Below are 20,630 nucleotides of genomic sequence, written 5' to 3'. Positions count from 1 at the left end.
GTGGGACCTTGTGTTGGGCGCTGGTGATAAAGTGCAAAGTGGACCCAGAGGGTCCCTGCCTTCCAGCTCCTGGTCTGGGAGGTCGGGGAGAGAAGCGGGTAGTAACCTGCAGTTGGAGTGGTCACGGGCGGGTGGAACAGCACTGGGGGTTGTGTGCGTGTCGTGGTGGGGTTACAGAGGAGGGGAGCTTCCGTGGCTCCCTGAATTAGAAGGTGGCTGCAGCCTCAGCCGGGAGGGATGAGGAGGCTTGGGTAACACCTAGCCGTTGCAGGCAGAGAGAGGAGGCGAGGAAAGGCCTGGGGTGTGGGAAGTGAGTAGTCCAGGGAGGCAGGGCCTGATTTAAGGCTTGTCTTTTTTTTTTTTCCCCTTAATATTTTGAATCCCAGGCCGGGCACGGTGACTTACGCCTGGAATCCCAGCACTTTGGGAGGCCGAGGCGGGCAGATCACGAGGTCAGGAGATCGAGACCATCCTGGCTAACACGGTGAAACCCTGTCTCTATGAAAAATACAAAAAATTAGCCGGGCGTGGTGGCGGGCGCCTGTAGTCCCAGCTACTTGGGAGGCTGAGGCAGGAGAATGGTGTGAACCCAGGAGGCAGAGCTTGCAGTGAGCGGAGATCGGGCCACTGCAGTCCAGCCTGGGCAACAGAGCAAGACTCCGTCTCAAATAAAAAACAAAACAAAACAAAAACAAAAACAAAAATATTTTGAATCCCAAGGGCAGTGGAGAGCCTTTTTTTGGGGGAGTTGGGGTTAGGCAGGGAGTGAAATAATTGCATTTGCATTTTGAGAGATGCCTCTGAGGCGCAGTGGCTGATGCCTGTAGTCACTGCACTTTGGAAGGATCCCTTGAGCCCAGGAGTTCAAGACCAGCCTGGGCAACATAGCCAGACTGTCTCTACAAAATACTAATACTAATACTAATACTAATACTAATACTAATACTAATAATAAAATTAGCCAGGTACATGTCTGTGGTCCCGGCTACTCTGAAGGCTGAGGTGGGAGGATCACTTGAACCTGGGAAGCCTTGGCTACAGTAAGCAGTGATCATGCCACTGTACTCCAGTCTGGGTGAAAGAGAGAGACCCTGTCTCAAGAAGAAAAAGAAAGATGTCCCTGGTTGCCCTGCGGGAGGGGACAGGGAGACTGATGCCAGGGGGAAGGCTGCTCAAAGTCATCCTGGCACGATGTCAGTGGCCAGGACCAGGGCTTTAGCAACAGAATGGGAAGCAGCAGGTGAACTTGAGAGATATTTAGGAGATGGAATTGGCAGGATTTGGTGGTGAGAGCTTGGTCTTGAAGGATCTGTTGACTTTTTTGAAGAAGGTGGGGCAGGGGATGTGAGTGACTTGACACAAAGACTGTGGTAAACCCAGTGGGTGTTAGGGACAGGAGTTCCCTGGTGTGGTGTGGTGCTGTGTGTGTGCGTTCTTCTAGGAGATGGGGCCATAGGGGCCATAGGGAAGAGTGCAGCTGAAACACTGGAGTTCAGGAGTTAGGGCCTCATTTCGCCAGTGCCGGAAGCCATGACATGTTCCTGTGGGGGACTATATATATCATGGCCCTTGCAATTTTTGAGCACCAGGTTGGACATGGGGATATTGTGAACTTTGACCACCCTCCCCCAATCCCTCCAAGGTCAGGAGCTGCAGGATCTGGCTCGAGTCCCCTGCAGGGTGAGTCCAGCTCCTGGAGTACAAGTGCTGATGGCCAGGGCTTCTCTCTCTCTCCACAGGGCCCAGAGCAGTCCTCCCTCGGCATGGGGCTGGAGGCTCAGAGGCTGCCAGGGGCTGAGGAGGCCCCAGTGCGGGTTGCCCTGCGAGTTCGACCACTGCTGCCCAAGGAGCTGCTGCACGGGCATCAGAGCTGCCTGCAGGTGGAGCCAGGGCTTGGCCGCGTCACTCTGGGCCGTGACCGACACTTTGGCTTCCACGTGGTGCTGGCCGAGGATGCGGGGCAGGAGGCCGTGTACCAGGCCTGCGTTCAGCCCCTCCTTGAGGCCTTCTTCGAGGGCTTCAATGCCACTGTCTTTGCCTATGGTCAGACGGGCTCAGGGAAGACATACACCATGGGGGAGGCCAGTGTGGGTGAGTGACCCTGTTCGTGGCCCTGTGCCCACTTTAAGGAGCCTTAGTTCCTTCCTGGATTTCTGCCTTGTCCTCTTGCTGCCTGTTCTGTGGAAGGTGGGGATGCTGGGGGAGGAAGAGTCGATTTCCTAGACAGGGATCTGTGGCCCAGGCTGGGACCAGCCATGTCTGTGGGCTAGGCAGGGCAGGAAGGAAGGGTCGTTGGAGGTGAGTGGCCTTCTCACCTCCATAGAGATGGCGCCATGCTGCCTGGCTCTGGGGACCTCAGCAGAGGAAGGGCACGGGAAGGTGGCGTGTCTCTAGAGGTTGTCAGGCTGGCTAGGGAAGGTCAGGAATCTGTTCTAGCTGGAGCAGTTGGGAATGGGGGCCGTGTGTCCTGGAAGAGGCTGCTTTGGATACTGCACAGCAGGGCTGCAGGGTGCTTCAGCCAGGCTCTGGAGCAGTTTCGAGAAAGATCCTTTGGGCCAACTGAAGGAAGTGTCCCCTTTTAAGTAACACAAGCTGTTTTCTGTCGGGTTACTGCCTTGCTCTGCTCCCTTCACTATAACAGAATACCATAGACTGGGTGGCTCCTCAAGAGAAATTTATTCCTCACAGTTCTGGAGGCTGGGAAGTTTAAGATGAAGGCACCAGCAGATTGAAGGGCCTTCTTCCTTACAGACAGTCGCTGTCTCTCTCTAAACTCACATGGTAGTACACAGAAGGGGTCTCTCTCAGCTCTCTTTTATAAGGGAACTAATCCCATTTATGAGGGCTCCCCCCATCCACTTCCCAAAGCCCTCACTTCCATCATATTGGAGGTAAGGATTTCTACATGTGAATTTTGGGGAGCATAAACAAATTCAGACCATAGCAGTTACAGAAAGATACTTTGTGTAAAAAAAATTAGGAAAATACAGCAAAACACATGCACGAAATAAAATGTACTTGATAATTGCCTTTCGGAAATCCCCTGCCCTGTTAGCCTTCCAGTTTCTTTCCCTGGGAAGATTATTTTACTTTTCAAAAATGGGATTATATTATATACATTCTTTTGTGTCCTGTTTGATTTTCTTAATAATGTATCATTGGCCAGGCACAGTGGCTCACGCCTGTAATCCCAGCACTTTGGGAGGCGGAGGCAGGCAGATCACCTGAGGTCAGGAGTTCGAGACCAGCCTAGCCAACATGGCAAAACCCCATCTCTACTAAAAATACAAAAACTGAGCCGGGCGTGGTGGCTCACACCTGTAATCCCAGCACTTTGGGAGGCCGAGGTGGGCAGATCATGAGGTCAGGAGATCAAGACCATCCTGGCCAACATGGTGAAACCCTGTCTCTACTAAAATACAAAAAATTAGCTGGGCGTGGTGGTGCATGCCTGTAGTCCCAGCTACTTGGGAGGCTGAGGCAGGGGAATCGCTTGAACCTGGGAGGCAGAGGTTGCAGTGAGCCGAGATCTGGCCACCGCACTCCAGCCTGGTGACAGAGCAAGACTCCGTCTCAAAAACAAACAAACAAAAAACTGGCCAAGCATGGTGGTGGGGGTCTATAATCCCAGCTACTCAGGAGGCTGAGGCAGGAGGATTGCTTGAACCCAGGAGGCAGAAGTTGCAGTGAGCCAAGATTGCTTCACTGCATTCCAGCCTGGGCAACAGTGAGATGCCATTTCAAAAACACAACAACAACAACAAATGTATCATGAACATTTCTCTGTATCATGAAATATTCTTCAATCTAACTTTTTAGGCCAGGCGCAGGGGCTCACACATGTAATCCCATCACTTTGGGAGGCTGAGCTGGGAGGACTGCTTGGGCATAGGAGTTGGGAGACCAGCCTGGGCAACACAGCAAGACCCTGTCTCTACCAAAAAAAAAAAAATCTAACTTTTTAATGGCTACCTGGCATTCCATTGTGAATATAAAATAGTTGGTTAGGTGCGGTGGCTCATGCCTGTAATCCCAGCACTTTGGGAGGCTGAGGCCGGCGGATCACGAGGTCAGGAGTTTGAGACCGGCCTGGCCAACATGGTGAAACACCATCTCTACTAACAATACAAAAATTAGCTGGGCATGGTGGCAGATGCCTATAATCCCAGCTACTCAGGAGGCTGAGGCAGGAGAAGCGCTTGAAACCGGAAGGTGGAGGTTGCAATGAGCCGAGATCACGCCACTGCCCTCCAGCTTGGGCAACGAGAGCAAAACTCAGTCTCAAAAAAAAAAAGTTGATTTGGCCAGATCTCCTATTGGATCTTCGGATGGACACTTAGGATGTTTGCATTTTTTGAAGTCATGAGGAAGAGTGCTGCTCTGAAGTTCCTCTGATTATTTCCTTGGGATAAATTTAGGAGGCCCTTTAGATAACTGAGCATGGATTAGGAGTAATCAAGGCAAGGTTATTTGATAATCTGTTGAGGATGCAGTGAAGGGGATGCTTACAGCATGAAAGGGGTTGATTGAATCAGGAGAGGTTGCTTCCAACTCTTAAATTTTATAATTCTGCCTGACCACGCTGGAGCATGGCCAAGCTCAGGCCACCTGTCCCATCCTGGCCTCGGCCACTGCCTTCTCCATCCTAGAGCACCATCCTCCAGCTCTGGCAGGGGCCTATGAGCTTCCGGGCCTGGGGGCCATGGGCCGTGTCCAGCTGAAGTGGCAGGAGGCCCTGCGGTGTCTCCCCAGCCTCCCTCCTTGAGGATGAGCAGGGCATTGTCCCGAGGGCCATGGCCGAGGCCTTCAAGCTCATCGATGAGAACGACCTGCTTGACTGTCTGGTACATGTGTCCTACCTGGAAGTGTACAAGGAGGAGTTCCGAGACCTGCTCGAGGTGGGCACTGCCAGCCGTGACATCCAGCTCCGGGAAGATGAGCGCGGGAATGTTGGTGAGGAACTCTGGGGTCCTCCACTGACGGAGAGGGGCTTAGGGGGGCTTCACCTGTTTGGAGTGGAGTGCTTACCTGTCTGGGAATGGCAACTCCTCATGGAAAACCCAAGCCCTGGGAGGTTTTGCTTTAGCTTCTTGCCTCCACTGAGTTCAGTACATGCTTCTATACCCAGAGTGAGAGGCACTGAGGTGGGCCAGTGGGAAGCCGGAGCCCCTCAAGCCGGAACTAGGAAGGGCAGTACCCCGTGGGCATGGGGAGGGAGCAGTGGGTCAGGAAGGGCAGGTTTGGGGCTAGTTCTGCTCTGCCTGCCCTCCTGGCTGGTCAGTCTGGCGGCCCCTGCCCTGGGGCTCACGGCCTTCTGTGCCCGCAGTGCTGTGCGGGGTGAAGGAGGTCGACGTGGAGGGCCTGGATGAGGTGCTGAGCCTCCTGGAGATGGGCAACGCGGCGCGGCACACGGGAGCCACGCACCTCAACCACCTGTCTAGCCGCTCACACACGGTCTTCACCGTGACCCTGGAGCAGCGGGGGCGCGCCCCCAGCCGCCTACCCCGCCCCGCCCCGGGCCAGCTGCTCGTCTCCAAGTTCCACTTCGTGGACCTGGCGGGCTCAGAGAGGGTGCTCAAGACGGGCAGCACCGGCGAGCGGCTCAAGGAGAGCATCCAGATCAACAGCAGCCTCCTGGCGCTGGGCAACGTCATCAGCGCCCTGGGGGACCCTCAGCGCCGGGGCAGCCACATACCCTACCGCGACTCCAAGATCACCCGGTGAGCTGCCCCCTGGCTCCTATGTGGCCTGGGGGCCGGGGAGGCGGGGAGTGTCCAGCACACCAGTGGGGGTGGAAGCCCAGGTCCCCTGAGGTCTCCAGCCCACGGGAACCGCGCCAGGAGCCGGTCCCAGGTCTGGCCCGCTGGCCCTGGGCCTGGAGCGTCGGGGCCCCTGAGAGCCTCCCCCTCGCGCCCTCAGGATCCTCAAAGACTCGCTGGGCGGGAACGCCAAGACGGTGATGATCGCCTGCGTCAGCCCTTCCTCCTCCGACTTCGACGAGACCCTCAACACCCTCAACTACGCCAGCCGCGCCCAGAACATCCGCAACCGCGCCACGGTCAACTGGCGGCCCGAGGCCGAGCGGCCACCCGAAGAGACGGCGAGCGGCGCGCGGGGTCCGCCACGGCACCGCTCCGAGACCCGCATCATCCACCGCGGCCGGCGCGCCCCAGGCCCAGCCACCGCCTCCGCGGCGGCCGCCATGCGCCTGGGCGCCGAGTGCGCGCGCTACCGGGCCTGCACCGACGCCGCCTACAGCCTCTTGCGCGAGCTGCAGGCCGAGCCCGGGCTGCCCGGCGCCGCCGCCCGCAAGGTGCGCGACTGGCTGTGCGCCGTCGAGGGCGAGCGCAGCGCCCTGAGCTCCGCCTCCGGGCCCGATAGCGGCATCGAGAGCGCCTCCGTCGAGGACCAGGCGGCGCAGGGGGCCGGCGGGCGAAAGGTGGCCGAGGGACAGGTTGTGGTTGTGGTTGTGGGCAGTGGGGAGTGGTGGAGAGGAAGGAAGAGGGTCTTCAGACAGCAGCTGCGCCCCTGCCTCCTGCCCATTAGCAGGGCACGTTCGGGATTCGGTCACTTCTGCTGATTACCGTGGTCACTTCCTTAACTTCACCGAGTCTCAGGTCTCCAGCTGTAAAATAGGGATAACCGTAGGACTTACCCCATCTCTTAGTGGGGATGTTGTAAGGGCTGAGGGTGTCACATGTGCCTAGCATGCCGGTGAAGACGCAGTAAATTGTTCCTAATAATAGTGGTGATATTATTAATACAAATACGATGGATAATTACAAGAGATGACCCAAATGGCTTGCAGAGGGCACCCAGGCCAGCTGGGGTCTGGGGTTTCCTCCCACCAGTGGGTCTGGAGTTCCCACTGCAGGTAGGGCTTGGAAGAGTAGATAGAAAGCAGGGCTAAACAAGAAGAGGCCGGGTGTCCAGCTCGCCCTGTCAACCCCCGCCCCTGAAGCCCCTCTCCCTGCCCTATAGGAGGATGAGGGGGCGCAGCAGCTGCTGACCCTGCAGAACCAGGTGGCGCGGCTGGAGGAGGAGAACCGAGACTTTCTGGCTGCGCTGGAGGACGCCATGGAGCAGTACAAACTGCAGGTGCGGCGCCCGCTTCACAGTGCGGGGAAGGCTTCCCAGAGGAGGATGAAGGGAAGGCAGAGCTGAGTTTCTCAGGATGGGAGGGAGTTAGGGTAGGGTACTGCGGGGTAGGGGTGTAGAGTCAGGAGGTGCACATGAGCGAAAGTGTGGAGGTGAGCATCACAACAGCGCAGGTGGGTGTGCAGGACCGCCAGGCAGGGCAGCTTTGCTGGGTGGTGTGAGCTTGGACGGGAGAGGGGACAGGAGGGGCAGCAGCGGGGGACCTTGGAGCCGGGCGTCACCAGGTCAGCATTGCTCCTGGCGCCCTCTGGTGGCGGCGGTTGGAGGTGGCGGTCTGGCAGGATAGGAGTGTGATGGGATCTGTGGGGTGAGTTTGAGTCTGAACTCCTACAGAGTTGTTGGGGAGGAGAGGAGTATTTGACACTCCTCATTTTCAGCCCAGAGACGGTGGAGTGGCCTCAGACCTGTTCCTCAGTTTCCTACACTCCTGCCTGTCGGGGCATTCATGCCCCCTTGGCACCTGGACCATGTCTTGCAGAGCGACCGGCTGCGTGAGCAGCAGGAGGAGATGGTGGAACTGCGGCTGCGGTTAGAGCTGGTGCGGCCAGGCTGGGGGGGCCCGCGGCTCCTGAATGGCCTGCCTCCCGGGTCCTTTGTGCCTCGACCTCATACAGCCCCCCTGGGGGGTGCCCACGCCCATGTGCTGGGCATGGTGCCGCCTGCCTGCCTCCCTGGAGATGAAGTTGGCTCTGAGCAGAGGGGAGAGGTGAGAAGAGGGTGAGGCTGGGTGTCTGTGGGCCCTGCTGGACTGGTCAAGTTCGGGGCAGGGGAAGGGGGCACTGGGGCACGTGTCCCCCACTCATGCTTTCATGGGACTGGCTGTGAGATGCGAGAGGCTGCTTTCAGCTGTCCCCAGAGGAAGAGCCAAGATTTGAATGACTCTGGGCCTCTCAGAAGGGTGCAGTGCCATCGGGCATCCCTGGGGTAGCTGAAGATCGCTTGGAATGAGGAGGTTACAGAGGGGGTTCAGGCTTCCGGCATCGGGTGGAAACCTTGCACACTTCTGCATACGGAGAGCTCATCACCTTTCAGACCACCCCCTCTGTCTTTGGATGGCTCTCTTTGCAAGTTCACTTTTCCACGTGGGGAACCTTGTTTGGACAAAGGTTACTCCTGCCTGAAAGTTCTGGGTCCTCTGGGGCTTTTAGGCCTGGGTCATCTCAGCTCTCAAAGCTGGGGGTTGGCAGAAGTCTCATGTTCACCCATCACTCTGGCAGGGAATTGGTGGTGAGATAGGACTTGGGTGCACATGACCTGTACACAAGGTAGAAAGGGCAGATTGTCACCTGAGGAGTACCAGGTATCATGGGAGCCAAAGCAGGCGGGAGGGGAGGGGAGGGAGGAAGCTCTCACCCCAGCTTGAGATTCAGAAGGCTGCCAGAGGGGTCATTTGAGCTGGATCACGAAGGTAAGGCAGGGCTTGAGGAGGGAGAGATATGAGGAGGGCAGGCAAGGTGGGGTATATCGCAGGGATGATGACTTGGGATGGGAAATGGCTCACTCCCCTAGCAGGTGACAAATGGCAGGGAGGCTGGAGCTGAGTTGCTGACTGAGGTGAACAGGCTGGGAAGTGGCTCTTCAGCTGCTTCAGAGGAGGAAGAGGAGGAGGAGGAGCCGCCCAGGCGGACCTTACACCTGCGCAGGTGAGTGGGACCCACTGCCCCCACCTGACAAGGACCTGCTCAGGGCCCAGGGCTAGGCAGGCTGGGGATCGCACCGTCTCCTCTCCTGACAGCAGTGGGGAAGCCTCTGGGTCCTAGGATGCCCTCATGTTGCCCTGGCCAGCCCCTGGGGGAGAGCTGTGGGGCACTGAGCCGAAAGGTCTCACTGGAGCGAGTGTGATACAAGGTGGGCCCAGGCCTCCTGACTTCAGCCTCCAGGGTGGCCCTCTATGCCCCCAGCTGCCCTGTACCTCCTAAAACTCTGCCCCTGGACTCCTGATTCTGCCAGACTCACATCCTGGGTTTATATTGACCCTGGGAGGTGGAAGACCCGGTGGCCTCTCTTCTTCCCTCCAGGCCTGGGGGTGGCTAGGCTGGGGCAGGGGCTGGGGAGGAGCATGGCCTCCTGCTTCTGTCCTCCAGAAATAGGATCAGCAACTGCAGTCAGAGGGCGGGGGCACGCCCAGGGAGTCTGCCAGAGAGGAAGGGCCCAGAGCTTTGCCTTGAGGAGTTGGATGCAGCCATTCCAGGGTCCAGAGGTAAGCTGGGTGGGATGCAGAGAGGGCCTCCTCCCCACTGCCCCTCCACGGTTCTGGGCCAGCCACCTTGGGACAGTCCCACCCACCATCCCTGGCAGCCCCTGCTCTCCACTCCTCTGTCTCCCCCACTGTCAGTTGGGGCAGCAACCTTGACAGGCTGCCTGTTGCAGCAGTTGGTGGGAGCAAGGCCCGAGTTCAGGCCCGCCAGGTCCCCCCTGCCACAGCCTCAGAGTGGCGGCTGGCCCAGGCCCAGCAGAAGATCCGGGAGCTGGCTATCAACATCCGCATGAAGGAGGAGCTTATTGGCGAGCTGGTCCGCACAGGTGAGGCGTGGGCATCAGGTGGGCCTCTCACCCGAGGGGGACTTCTCATCGTTACTTCTGCACTGTTCTAGAGGGATTTCAACAATGAGGTGGTTAGGAGCAGGGGCCGGATGGCCTAGGTTTGATACTCAGCCCAGCCTCTTCCAGCTGTGTGACCCTGAGCAAGTAGCATAAACCCTCCGTGCCTCAGTTTTTTCATCTCTAAAATGGGGATAGTCGTTATACCTACTGAATAGGGGTGTTGTGAGGGTGAAGTGAGTTAATTCAGGTGAAGTGCTTAGAATAGCTCTTAGTAAGCAGTACTTCTTTTTTCTTCTTTTTCTTTTTTTGAGAAAGAGTTTCACTCGTCACCCAGGCTGGAGTGCAGTGGCGTGATCTTGGCTCACTGCAACCTCTGCCTCCCGGGTTCAAGCGATTCTCCTGCCTCAGCCTCCCGAGTAGCTGGGATTACAGGCGCCCGCCACCACACCCACCTAATTTTTTTTTTTTTTTGTATTTTTAGTTGAGATGGGGTTTCACCATGTTGGCCAGGCTGGTGTTGAACTCCTGACCTCAGGTGATCCACCCGCCTCAGTGTCCACAAGTGCTGGGATTACAGGCGTGAGCCACCATGCCCGGCACTTCTTCTTACTTATCGAGTGCCTGCAATGTTTCAGCCATTGTGCTGGGCGAAGTATCTCTCAGTCCTGGGGAGCACACAGTGAGTGTCATGGAGGACTGAGCGTCTCCAAATTGTGTTATGCCTATGACTGGTGATATGAGTGAAGGAGGGGACACGGGGTAGTTTTAGGTGCTGGCCAGTGGAGCGTTTATATTTTAATAGTTAATGAATTTGTTACCAAATTCATCATAAATATTTTCAACCAGACATGAGACGAGTACCATGGGTCCCATATACCCATCCTCCAGACTTAGTAGTTACCAAGAGTTTTCCACAGTTGTTTTACCTCCTCTCCCTTTTTTCTTTGCTGAATATTTTGAAGGACATGCCAGACTTCATGTCCTTTCTTCCCTACACCTCCCAGTGTGCTGCTTTAAAAATAGGAACTTTTTTTTTTTTTTACTTAACTGTAATACCATCAGCACACCTAATGAAACTAATGTCCTCTTTTTTTTTTTTTTTTTTTCTGAGACGGAGTCTCACTCTGTTGCCAAGCTGGAGTGCAGTGGCACGATGTTGGCTCACTGCAACCTCTGCCTCCCGAGTTCAAGTGATTCTCCTGCTTCAGCCTCTCGAGTAGCTGGGACTACAGGCGTGTGCCAACACAACCAGCTAATTTTTGTATTTTTAGTAGAGACGGGGTTTCACCATGTTGGCCAGGATGGTCTCGATCTCTTGACCTCGTGATCCGCTCACCTCAGCCTCCCAAAGTACTGGGATTAGAGGCGTGAGCCACCGCACCCGGCACAGTCCTCTTAATGACCAGAGCATAAGCACATTCTCTCCATTATCAGCAGTGTCTGTTTATAGCTGGATCGCTTGAATCAGGCTCCACATTTGTTCCACACACACATCATACAGTCGTCACTTGATATCTATGTGGGATTGGTTCCAGGACCCCGTGAATGCCAAAATCTGTGGATGCTCAAAAAAGGTTTAGTAAATAATGTGGTATAGTATTTACAGTAACTGACCCACATCTTCCTTTAAATCACTTTAAATCATCTCTAGATTTCTTACAATACCTAATACAATGTAAAAGCTGGGTAAATAGTTGTTTTACTGTATTGTTTAGGTAATGATGATAAGAAAAATCTGTAAATGGTCAGTACACATGCAGCCATTTATTTAGAAAAATATAATTTCCATCCATGGTTGGTTGAACCCATGGGTGTGGAACCCACAGATGCAGAGGGCCGACTGTATTTGTTTCTGAGGTCTCTGACATCTCCCTTCTCTCAGTCATCCTGCTGAATGTCCCAAACCCCACGTTTGGGGTTTGTCTGTTTGCTTTTTTGTGGTGTCATTTAGCTCATTCTTTTGTCCTCCAGATTTCCTGGAAATGAAAGTTAGTTCTAAAGGCTTAATTATATACAGGTTCAGGTTACATATTTATTTTAGAATGCATTTGGTAAAAATAAAACTAATTTGTAATTTCCTTGGGTCGCTGCAGTGGATGAGGCTTATTTAAAAGGTGAGTTGAGGCTGGGCGCGGTGGCTCACGCCTGTAATCCCAGGACTTTGGGAGGCCAAGGTGGGTGGATCACCAGAGGTCAGGAGTTCGAGACCAGCCTGGCCAACATGGCAAAACCCAATCTCTACTAAAAATACAAAATTAGCCAGGTGTAGTGGCACGTGCCTGTAATCCCAGCTACTTGGGAGGCTGAGGCAGCAGAATCACTTGAATCTGGAAGGCGGAGGTTGCACTGAGCCAAGATTGCGCCACTGCACTCCAGCCTGGGCAAAAAGAGCAAACTCCGTCTCAATAAATAAATAAATAGAGTTGATTTGAAGAAAAATATTAAGTAAACTGTGGTACTGGTGGTGCAAAGGCTTGGTGAAACCCACACAGGTGTCCAAGGGCTGGGAAACCTCCCAGGGGGACAAACAGCTGGCCCTCTCGGTGGAGCAGGGCTGCCTGTGCTGACATTCCCGCTTTCTTCCAGGAAAGGCAGCTCAGGCCCTGAACCGCCAGCACAGCCAGCGTATCCGGGAGCTGGAGCAGGAGGCAGAGCAGGTGCGGGCCGAGCTGAGTGAAGGCCAGAGGCAGCTGCGGGAGCTCGAGGGCAAGGAGCTCCAGGATGCTGGCGAGCGGTCTCGGCTCCAGGAGTTCCGCAGGAGGGTCGCTGCGGCCCAGAGCCAGGTGCAGGTTAGTCTCGGGGCCTCAGGGTGGGGTGCTGGGGTGACTCCTGCCTCCTAGGCTGCCATCCTTGGGACCAGGACATGTGGGCTCTGAGGCCCAAGTTCACTGTGGAACCTTGTGCTCCAGCCCTGGCCCTGCAGGGTGAGGCTGGTATAGAAGCTGGGGGTCCGCCCAGCTTTACACACAGTAGAGGCAGGGGGCAGGTCCTGCCTGAAGACCACCTGGGAGAGCAACGAGAGGGTGAAGGGTGGGCGTCTAAAGAAACCTACCCTGCAGCGTGCAGTCCTCTGTCTCCCGGTCCCCCTTTCAGCTCTCCATTCGCTTACCCCTCCATCCCATTCTCCCTTGTCTGTCTATCCGTTGGTCCATGTGTCCGTCAAACCCATGCCATCGGTTTAGTCTTTCTTTGAGACAGAGTCTCACTCTGTTGCCCAGGCTGGAGTACAGTGCCACCATCCTGGCTCACTGCAACCTCCGCCTCCTGGGTTCAAGTGATTCTCCTGTCTCAGCCTCCTGAGTAGCTGGGATTACAGACACGTGCCACCACGCCCAGCTGATTTTGTATTTTTAGTAAAGACGGGGTTTCTCCATGTTAGCCAGGCTGGTCTTGAACTCCTGACCTCAAGTGATCCGCCCACCTGGGCCTACCAAAGTGCTGGGATTATAGGTGTGAGCCACCACGCCTAGCTGGTTTAGCCTTTTATCAGTGGATTGACCACCTGTCCATTTATCCACAGGTGCATCCACCCCTTCCATCCCCTTTTGTTAATTCATGCATTCTCTGTCTTAGTTTGCTACAGCTGCCATAGCAAACTTCCGTAGACTAGGGGGATTTAAACAGCAGAAGTTTAGTTTCTCCCAGCTCTGGAGGCTGTCAGTCCGAGCTCAAGGTGTCTACAGGTCTGGTTTCCCCTGAGGCCTCACTTCTTGGTGTGCAGACGGCCACTTCCTGGCTGTGTCTTGACACGGCCTTTCCCCTGCTTGTAGCCCTGGTATCTCTTCCTCTTGTCATGAGGACCCTGGTCATACTGGATTAGGGCCCACCCTAATGTCCTCATTTAAACTAATCACCTCTCTAAAGACCTTCTTTACAAACGCAGTCATATTCTGAGGTGCTGGTGGTTAGGGCTTTCATATAGGAATTTTGGGGAAACACAATTCAGCCCATCACGGTCTCCATCCTGTTGTTTTCATTTTTTATTTTTTGAGACGGAGTCTCACTCTGTTGCTCAGGCTGGAGTGCTGTGGTGCAATCTCAGCTTACTGCAACCTCCGCCTCCTGGGTTCAAGTGATCCTTATGCCTCAGCCTCCTGAGTAGCGGGGTGCCACTACAGGCAGGTGCCACCACACCTGGCTAATTTTTTTCTTTTTTTTTTTTTTTTTAAGTAGAGACAGTGTTTCACCATGTTGGCCAGGCTGCTCTTGAACTCCTGACCTCAGGTGATCCACTTATCTTGGCCTCCCAAAAGTTCTGGGATTGCAGGCATGAGCCACTGTGCCTGGCCTATCCTATTTTTTTACCTTCATATGATCTCGCCCACCTAGCCATCTGTCCCTCCCACCCTTCCATCCGTCCATCCTTGCAGATGCCCACCCATCCTTATTTTCTCAGTTCAAATGTCCAAGAGACAATATCGTGGAGTGGTTGAGAGCATGGGCTCTGGAGCCTGACTGCTCAGGTTTGAATCCCAGTTCTACCACTTACTAGCTATGTGTCGTTGGTCAAGTTTCCTAACCTCTCTGCCTCAGTTTTCTGATCTGTAAAATAGGGATAATCATAATTACACTTTTTGTAGGCTCATTAGGACCATTTAATATACACAGAGCTCTTAGTGTGGTGCCTGGTGCGTAAATGTCGTAGTATTTACCATTATTAGTATACTGTTATTATTATTATTATTTTTAATTTATTATTATTATACTTTAAGTTTTAGGGTACATGTGCACAATGTGCAGGTTAGTTACATATGTATACATGTGCCATGCTGGTGCGCTGCACCCACTAACTCGTCATCTAGCATTAGGTATATCTCCCAGTGCTATCCCTCCCCACTCCCCCCACCCCACAACAGTCCCCAGAGTGTGATGTTCCCCTTCCTGTGTCCATGTGTTCTCATTGTTCCACCCCCACCTGTGAGTGAGAATATGCAGTGTTTGGTTTTTTGTTCTTGTGATAGTTTACTGAGAATGATGATTTCCAGTTTCATCCATGTCCCTACAAAGGACATGAACTCATCATTTTTTATGGCTGCACAGTATTCCATGGTGTATAAGTGCCACATTTTCTTAATCCAGTCTATCATTGTTGGACATTTGGGTTGGTTCCAAGTCTTTGCTATTGTGAATAATGCCACAATAAACATACATGTGCATGTGTCTTTATAGCTGCATGATTTATAGTCCTTTGGGTATATACCCAGTAATGGGATGGCTGGGTCAAATGGTATTTCTAGTTCTAGATCCCTGAGGAATTGCCACACTGACTTCCACAATGGTTGAACTAGTTTACAGTCCCACCAACAGTGTAAAAGTGTTCCTATTTCTCCACATCCTCTCCAGCACCTGTTGTTTCCTGACTTTTTAATGATTGCCATTCTAACTGGTGTGAGATGGTATCTCATTGTGGTTTTGATTTGCATTTCTCTGATGGCCAGTGATGGTGAGCATTTTTTCATGTGTTTTTTGGCTGCATAAATGTCTTCTTTTGAGAAGTGTCTGTTCATATCCTTTGCCCACTTTTTGATGGGGTTGTTTGTTTTTTTCTTGTAAATTTGTTTGAGTTCATTGTAGATTCTGGATATTAGCCCTCTGTCAGATGAGTAGGTTGCAGAAATTTTCTCCCATTTTGTAGGTTGCCTGTTCACTCTGATGGTAGTTTCTTTTGCTGTGCAGAAGCTCTTTAGTTTAATTAGATCCCATTTGTCGATTTTGGCTTTGGTTGCCATTGCGTTTGGTGTTTTAGACATGAAGTCCTTGCCCATGCCTATGTCCTAAATGGTAATGCCTAGGTTTTCTTCTAGAGTTTTTATGGTTTTAGGTCTAACATTTAAGTCTTTAATCCATCTTGAATTGATTTTTGTATAAGGTGTAAGGAAGGGATCCAGTTTCAGCTTTCTACATATGGCTAGCCAGTTTTCCCAGCACCATTTATTAAATAGGGAATCCTTTCCCCATTGCTTTTCTCAGGTTTGTCAAAGATCAGATAGTTGTAGATATGCGGCGTTATTTCTGAGGGCTCTGTTCTGTTCCATTGATCTATATCTCTGTTTTGGTACCAGTACCATGCTGTTTTGGTTACTGTAGCCTTGTAGTATAGTTTGAAGTCAGGTAGTGTGATGCTTCCAGCTTTGTTCTTTTGGCTTAGGATTGACTTGGTGATGCAGGCTCTTTTTTGGTTCTATATGAACTTTAAAGTAGTTTTTTCCAATTCTGTGAAGAAAGTCATTGGTAGCTTGATGGGGATGGCATTGAATCTGTAAATTACCTTGGGCAGTATGGCCATTTTCATGATATTGATTCTTCCTACCCATGAGCATGGAATGTTCTTCCATTTGTTTGTATCCTCTTTTATTTCCTTGAGCAGTGGTTTGTAGTTCTTCTTGAAGAGGTCCTTCACATCCCTTGTAAGTTGGATTCCTAGGTATTTTATTCTCTTTGAAGCAATTGTGAATGGGAGTCCACTCATGATTTGGCTCTCTGTTTGTTGTTGGTGTATAAGAATGCTTGTGATTTTTGTACATTGATTTTGTATCCTGAGACTTTGCTGAAGTTGCTTATCAGCTTAAGGAGATTTTGGGCTGAGACAATGGGGTTTTCTAGATATACAATCATGTCATCTGCAAACAGGGACAATTTGACTTCCTCTTTTCCTAATTGAATACCCTTTATTTCCTTCTCCTGCCTAATTGCCCTGGCCAGAACTTCCAACACTATGTTGAATAGGAGTGGTGAGAGAGGGCATCCCTGTCTTGTGCCAGTTTTCAAAGGGAATGCTTCCAGTTTTTGCCCATTATGATACTGGCTGTGGGTTTGTCATAGATAGCTCTTATGATTTTGAGATACGTCCCATCAATATCTAATTTATTGAGAGTTGTTGAATTTTGTCAAAGGCCTTTTCTGCATCTATTGAGATAATCGTGATTTTGTCTTTGGTTCTGTTTATATGCTGGATTACATTTATTGATTTGCGTATATTGAACCAGCCTTGCATCCCAGGGATGAAGCCCACTTGATCATGGTGGATAAGCTTTTTGATGTGCTGCTGGATTCGGTTTGCCAGTATTTTATTGAGGATTTTTGCATCAATGTTCATCAAGGATATTGGTCTAAAATTCTCTTTTTTGGTTGTGTCTCTGCCCGGCTTTGGTATCAGGATGATGCTGGCCTCATAAAATGAGTTAGGGAGGATTCCCTCTTTTTCTATTGATTGGAATAGTTTCAGAAGGAATAGTACCAGTTCCTCCTTGTACCTCTGGTAGAATTCGGCTGTGAATCCATTTGGTCCTGGACTTTTTTTGGTTGGTAAGCTATTGATTATTGCCACAATTTCAGCTCCTGTTATTGGTCTATTCAGAGATTCAACTTCTTCCTGGTTTAGTCTTGGGAGAGTGTATGTGTCGAGGAATTTATCCATTTCTTCTAGATTTTCTAGTTTATTTGTGTAGAGGTGTTTGTAGTATTCTCTGATGGTAGTCTGTATTTCTGTGGGATCGGTGGTGATATCCCCTTTATCATTTTTTATTGCATCTATTTGATTCTTCTCTCTTTTTTTCTTGCTAGTGGTCTATCAATTTTGTTGATCCTTTCAAAAAACCAGCTCCTGGATTCATTAATTTTTTGAAGGGTTTTTTGTGTCTCTATTTCCTTCAGTTCTGCTCTGATTTTAGTTATTTCTTGCCTTCTGCTAGCTTTTGAATGTGTTTGCTCTTGCTTTTCTAGTTCTTTTAGTTGTGATGTTAGGGTGTCAATTTTGGATCTTTCCTGCTTTCTCTTGTGGGCATTTAGTGCTATAAATTTCCCTCTACACACTGCTTTGAATGTGTCCCAGAGATTCTGGTATGTTGTGTCTTTGTTCTCGTTGGTTTCAAAGAACATCTTTATTTCTGCCTTCATTTCGTTATGTACCCAGTAGTCATTCAGGAGCAGGTTGTTCAGTTTCCATGTAGTTGAGCGGTTTTGAGTGAGATTCTTAATCCTGAGTTCTAGTTTGATTGCACTGTGGTCTGAGAGATAGTTTGTTATAATTTCTGTTCTTTTACATTTGCTGAGGAGAGCTTTACTTCCAAGTATGTGGTCAATTTTGGAATAGGTGTGGTGTGGTGCTGAAAAAAATATATATTCTGTTGATTTGGGGTGGAGAGTTCTGTAGGTGTCTATTAGGTCCGCTTGGTGCAGAGCTGAGTTCAATTCCTGGGTATCCTTGTTGACTTTCTGTCTTGTTGATCTGTCTAATGTTGACATTGGGGTGTTAAAGTCTCCCATTATTAATGTGTGGGAGTCTAAGTCTCTTTGTAGGTCACTCAGGACTTGCTTTATGAATCTGGGTGCTCCTGTATTGGGTGCATGTATATTTAGGATAGTTAGCTCTTCTTGTTGAATTGCTCCCTTTACCATTATGTAATGGCCTTCTTTGTCTCTTTTGATCTTTGTTGGTTTAAAGTCTGTTTTATCAGAGACTAGGATTGCAACCCCTGCCTTTTTTTGTTTTCCATTTGCTTGGTAGATCTTCCTCCATCCTTTTATTTTGAGCCTATGTGTGTCTCTGCATGTGAGATGGGTTTCCTGAATACAGCACACTGATGGGTCTTGACTCTTTATCCAATTTGCCAGTCTGTGTCTTTTAATTGGAGCATTTAGTCCATTTACATTTAAAGTTAATATTGTTATGTGTGAATTTGATCCTGTCATTATGATGTTAGCTGGTTATTTTGCTCGTTAGTTCATGCAGTTTCTTCCTAGTCTCGATGGTCTTTACATTTTGGCATGATTTTGCAGCGGCTGGTACCGGTTGTTCCTTTCCATGTTTAGCGCTTCCTTCAGGAGCTCTTTTAGGGCAGGCCTGGGTGTGACAAAATCTCTCAACATTTGCTTGTCTGTAAAGTATTTTATTTCTCCTTCACTTATGAAGCTTAGTTTGGCTGGATATGAAATTCTGGGTTGAAAATTCTTTTCTTTAAGAATGTTGAATATTGACCCCCACTCTCTTCTGGCTTGTAGAGTTTCTGCCGAGAGATCCGCTGTTAGTCTGATGGGCTTCCCTTTGTGGGTAACCCGACCTTTCTCTCTGGCTGCCCTTAACATTTTTTCCTTCATTTCAACTTTGGTGAATCTGACAATTATGTGTCTTGGAGTTGCTCTTCTTGAGGAGTATCTTTGTGGCGTTCTCTGTTATTTCCTGAATCTGAATGTTGGCCTGCCTTGCTAGATTGGGGAAGTTCTCCTGGATAATATCCTGCAGAGTGTTTTCCAACTTGGTTCCATTCTCCCCGTCACTTTCAGGTACACCAGTCAAATGTAGATTTGGTCTTTTCACATAGTCCCATATTTCTTGGAGGCTTTGCTCATTTCTTTTTATTCTTTTTTCTCTAAACTTCCCTTCTCGCTTCATTTCATTCACTTCATATTCCATCACTGATACCCTTTCTTCCAGTTGATCGCATCAGCTCCTGAGGCTTCTGCATTCTTCACGTAGTTCTCGAGCCTTGGTTTTCAGCTCCATCAGCTCCTTTAAGCACTCCTCTGTATTGGTTATTCTAGTTATACATTCTTCTAAACTTTTTTCAAAGTTTTTAACTTCTTTGCCTTTGGTTTGAATTTCCTCCCATAGCTCGGAATAATTTGATCATCTGAAGCCTTCTTCTCTCAGCTCGTCAAAGTCATTCTCCATCCAGCTTTGTTCCGTTGCTGGTGAGGAACTGCGTTCCTTTAAAGGAGGAGAGGCGCTCCGCTTTTTAGAGTTTCCATTTTTTCTGCTCTGTTTTTTCCCCATCTTTGTGGTTTTATCTACTTTTGGTCTTTGATGATGGTGATGTACAGATGGGTTTTTGGTGTGGATGTCCTTTCTGTTTGTTAGTTTTCCTTCTAACATACAGGACCCTCAGCTGCAGGTCTGTTGGAGTACCCGGCCGTGTGAGGTGTCAGTCTGCCCCTGCTGGGGGGTGCCTCCCAGTTAGGCTGCTCGGAGGTCAGGGGTCAGGAACCCACTTGAGGAGGCAGTCTGCCTGTTCTCAGGTCTCCAGCTGCGTGCTGGGAGAACCCCTGCTCTCTTCAAAGCTGTCAGACAGGGACATTTAAGTCTGCAGAGGTTACTGCTGTCTTTTTGTTTGTCTGTGCCCTGCCCCCAGAGGTGGAGCCTACAGAGGCAGGCAGGCCTCCTTGAGCTGTGGTGGGCTCCACCCAGATCGAGCTTCCCAGCTGCTTTGTTTACCTAAGCAAGCCTGGGCAATGGTGGGCACCCCTCCCCCAGCCTCGCTGCCACCTTGCAGTTTGATCTCCGACTGCTGTGCTAGCAATCAGCCAGACTCTGTGGGCGTAGGACCCTCTGAGCCATGTGCGGGATATAATCTCCTGGTGTGCCTTTTTTAAGCCCATCGGAAAAGCGCAGTATTCTGGTGGGAGTGACCCGATTTTCCAGGTGCCATCTGTCACCCCTTCGTTTGACTAGGAAAGGGAACTCCCTGACCCCTTGCACTTCCCGAGTGAGGCAATGCCTCGCCCTGCTTCGGCTCGCGCACGGTGCGCGCACCCACTGACCTGCGCCCACTGTCTGGCACTCCCTAGTGAGATGAACCCAGTACCTCAGATGGAAATGCAGAAATCACCCGTCTTCTGCGTCACTCACGCTGGGAGCTGTAGACTGGAGCTGTTCCTATTCGGCCATCTTGGCTCCTGTGTCCTGTTATTATTTTTTGAGTCAGAGTCTTGCTGTGTTGCCCAAGCTGGAGTGCAGTGGCACGATCCCGGCTCACTGCAACCTCTGCCTCCCGGGTTCAAGTGATTCTCCTGCCTCAGCCTCCTGAGTAGCTGGGATTAGAGGCACCCACCACCAAACCCAGCTAATTTTTGTATTTTTAGTAGAGACAGGATTTCACTATGTTGGCCAGGTTGGTCTCAAACTCCTGACCTCAAGTAATCCGCCCGCCTCA

At 51.1% G+C, this 20,630-nt stretch overlaps 1 protein-coding gene across 7 annotated transcripts in view; it reads left to right on the top strand.

The window, feature by feature from the left end:
* The window catches only part of KIF7 (kinesin family member 7), a 45,741-nt gene that overhangs the window by 8,356 nt on the left and 16,755 nt on the right, over positions 1–20,630 (top strand). For 2 of the 7 annotated variants that reach the window (XM_047432481.1, XM_047432479.1), the window contains exons 2-11: positions 1,740–2,091; positions 4,753–4,953; positions 5,327–5,720; positions 5,920–6,439; positions 6,982–7,098; positions 7,637–7,864; positions 8,671–8,801; positions 9,243–9,358; positions 9,529–9,681; positions 12,289–12,491. In XM_047432481.1, the coding sequence (XP_047288437.1) occupies positions 1,764–2,091; positions 4,753–4,953; positions 5,327–5,720; positions 5,920–6,439; positions 6,982–7,098; positions 7,637–7,864; positions 8,671–8,801; positions 9,243–9,358; positions 9,529–9,681; positions 12,289–12,491 (2,391 nt within the window). In that variant the 5' untranslated portion in view covers positions 1,740–1,763. Of the gene's footprint in view, positions 1–1,739; positions 2,092–4,752; positions 4,954–5,326; positions 5,721–5,919; positions 6,440–6,981; positions 7,099–7,636; positions 7,865–8,667; positions 8,802–9,242; positions 9,359–9,528; positions 9,682–12,288; positions 12,492–20,630 lie in introns of all 7 variants that reach the window. The other 5 variants (XM_047432477.1, XM_047432480.1, XM_011521531.3 and 2 more) reach the window with 3 other exon arrangements.

This window comes from Homo sapiens, chromosome 15, assembly GCF_000001405.40.
Source record: "Homo sapiens chromosome 15, GRCh38.p14 Primary Assembly".
In the NCBI taxonomy this organism is placed as follows: domain Eukaryota; kingdom Metazoa; phylum Chordata; class Mammalia; order Primates; family Hominidae; genus Homo; species Homo sapiens.
The sequence above is the reverse complement of the archived record's forward strand: the minus strand, read 5'-3'. Positions and strand labels throughout refer to the sequence as shown.